Source organism: Homo sapiens, chromosome 8, assembly GCF_000001405.40.
Source record: "Homo sapiens chromosome 8, GRCh38.p14 Primary Assembly".
NCBI lineage: Eukaryota > Metazoa > Chordata > Mammalia > Primates > Hominidae > Homo > Homo sapiens.
Window position 1 is genome coordinate 5,320,861 of NC_000008.11, and position 1,101 is coordinate 5,321,961.

General features: G+C 43.3%; 1 annotated feature.

Annotated features, from left to right (window-relative positions):
* Nucleotides 547–841: an enhancer, noted in NCBI's record as "tiled region #1718; HepG2 Activating non-DNase unmatched - State 13:Ctcf, and K562 Activating non-DNase unmatched - State 13:Ctcf". NCBI's record gives its function as "activates a minimal TATA promoter and a strong SV40 promoter by Sharpr-MPRA in HepG2 and K562 cells {active_cell/tissue: HepG2 | K562}" and the evidence as "EXISTENCE:reporter gene assay evidence [ECO:0000049][PMID:27701403]".

Consider the following 1,101-nt stretch of genomic DNA (forward strand, 5'->3'; position numbering starts at 1 on the left):
TGATTTATTACCTAGCTGCTAAACTAAACTTGTTTCTGTATGCAAATTAAAATAACTGAGGGTTTTATAAAAACTATCTTGAAGTAGGTATCTCAAAGTGATGTGGTATATTAGGTAATAAAAAAATGTACGTATGGTATTTTTTTTCCTGTTAAAGAGAGTGAAGGGTGAATCACTTAGACACAAGGAGAACAGAGTTTAGAGACCATACATGTCTGGGCACAGCCCACGTGTATCTACATGGCAACACCTACTCCTGCTTGGTACATTTGGGTTTTGGCAAAACTAAACCTCACACTGGCTTTGGGCCTTATCTATCAAATTACAAAAAGTGGGTATTGGTGCGACTCTGGAAGGGATCCTCAGTCCTCAGTCATTGTCTTCTTGGGAAAAGATAATTTGGCCCAAAGACAGTACATTTAAGGCAGACACAAGAATTTGCTGAAGCAAAGAAAAGTACGCTTGGAGGGAATGAAGCGGACAACTCCAAAAACTGAGTGCTTGCCCAAACTTTGGCTCAGGCCCTTTACACAGTTACTATTTTCATCCTGGTCTCTTCCTCTTGTCCTTCCCCTTGGGTGGGCTGTTGGCCATTCGCGGCATGTGCAGCATTGCCGGCATTTGGGAGGAGCCAAATGCGCTATTTGTTGGTGGAAGGTAGGCGCATGCTCTCTAAGAGCAATTTTCCCTTACCAGCCTAGCGCCCCCAGAGGAAGGTCATATATATGTCAAGCTCCACCATTTTGCCCCTTACTGTGCAAGCCTGGGCATGTCCTCAGCGGAAGGTCAAACTCTGCCATTTTAAGTTCTAATCGGAAAGTTGTTGCCCACAAGCTCAAGATATTTCCTTGTTAGGAAATTTCCCCTCCCTGTCACCAGCTACCTTACAATCGCCTGATAGTCACCTGTTTCCTGACATTCTTTGGGGCCCGTGGTGCCCTGCTGGTATCTGCTTGTCTACCTACTCTAACAAAATCATTAGAGTGACTGAGCTTACTTTCTTGATGGTGACCTTCGCATTACTGCTGAGTGTAAAGGTGAAAACAGAGCATGTTTTGATCCATAAAATTATGAATATTTGCACTAAAATTTTATGCCCAT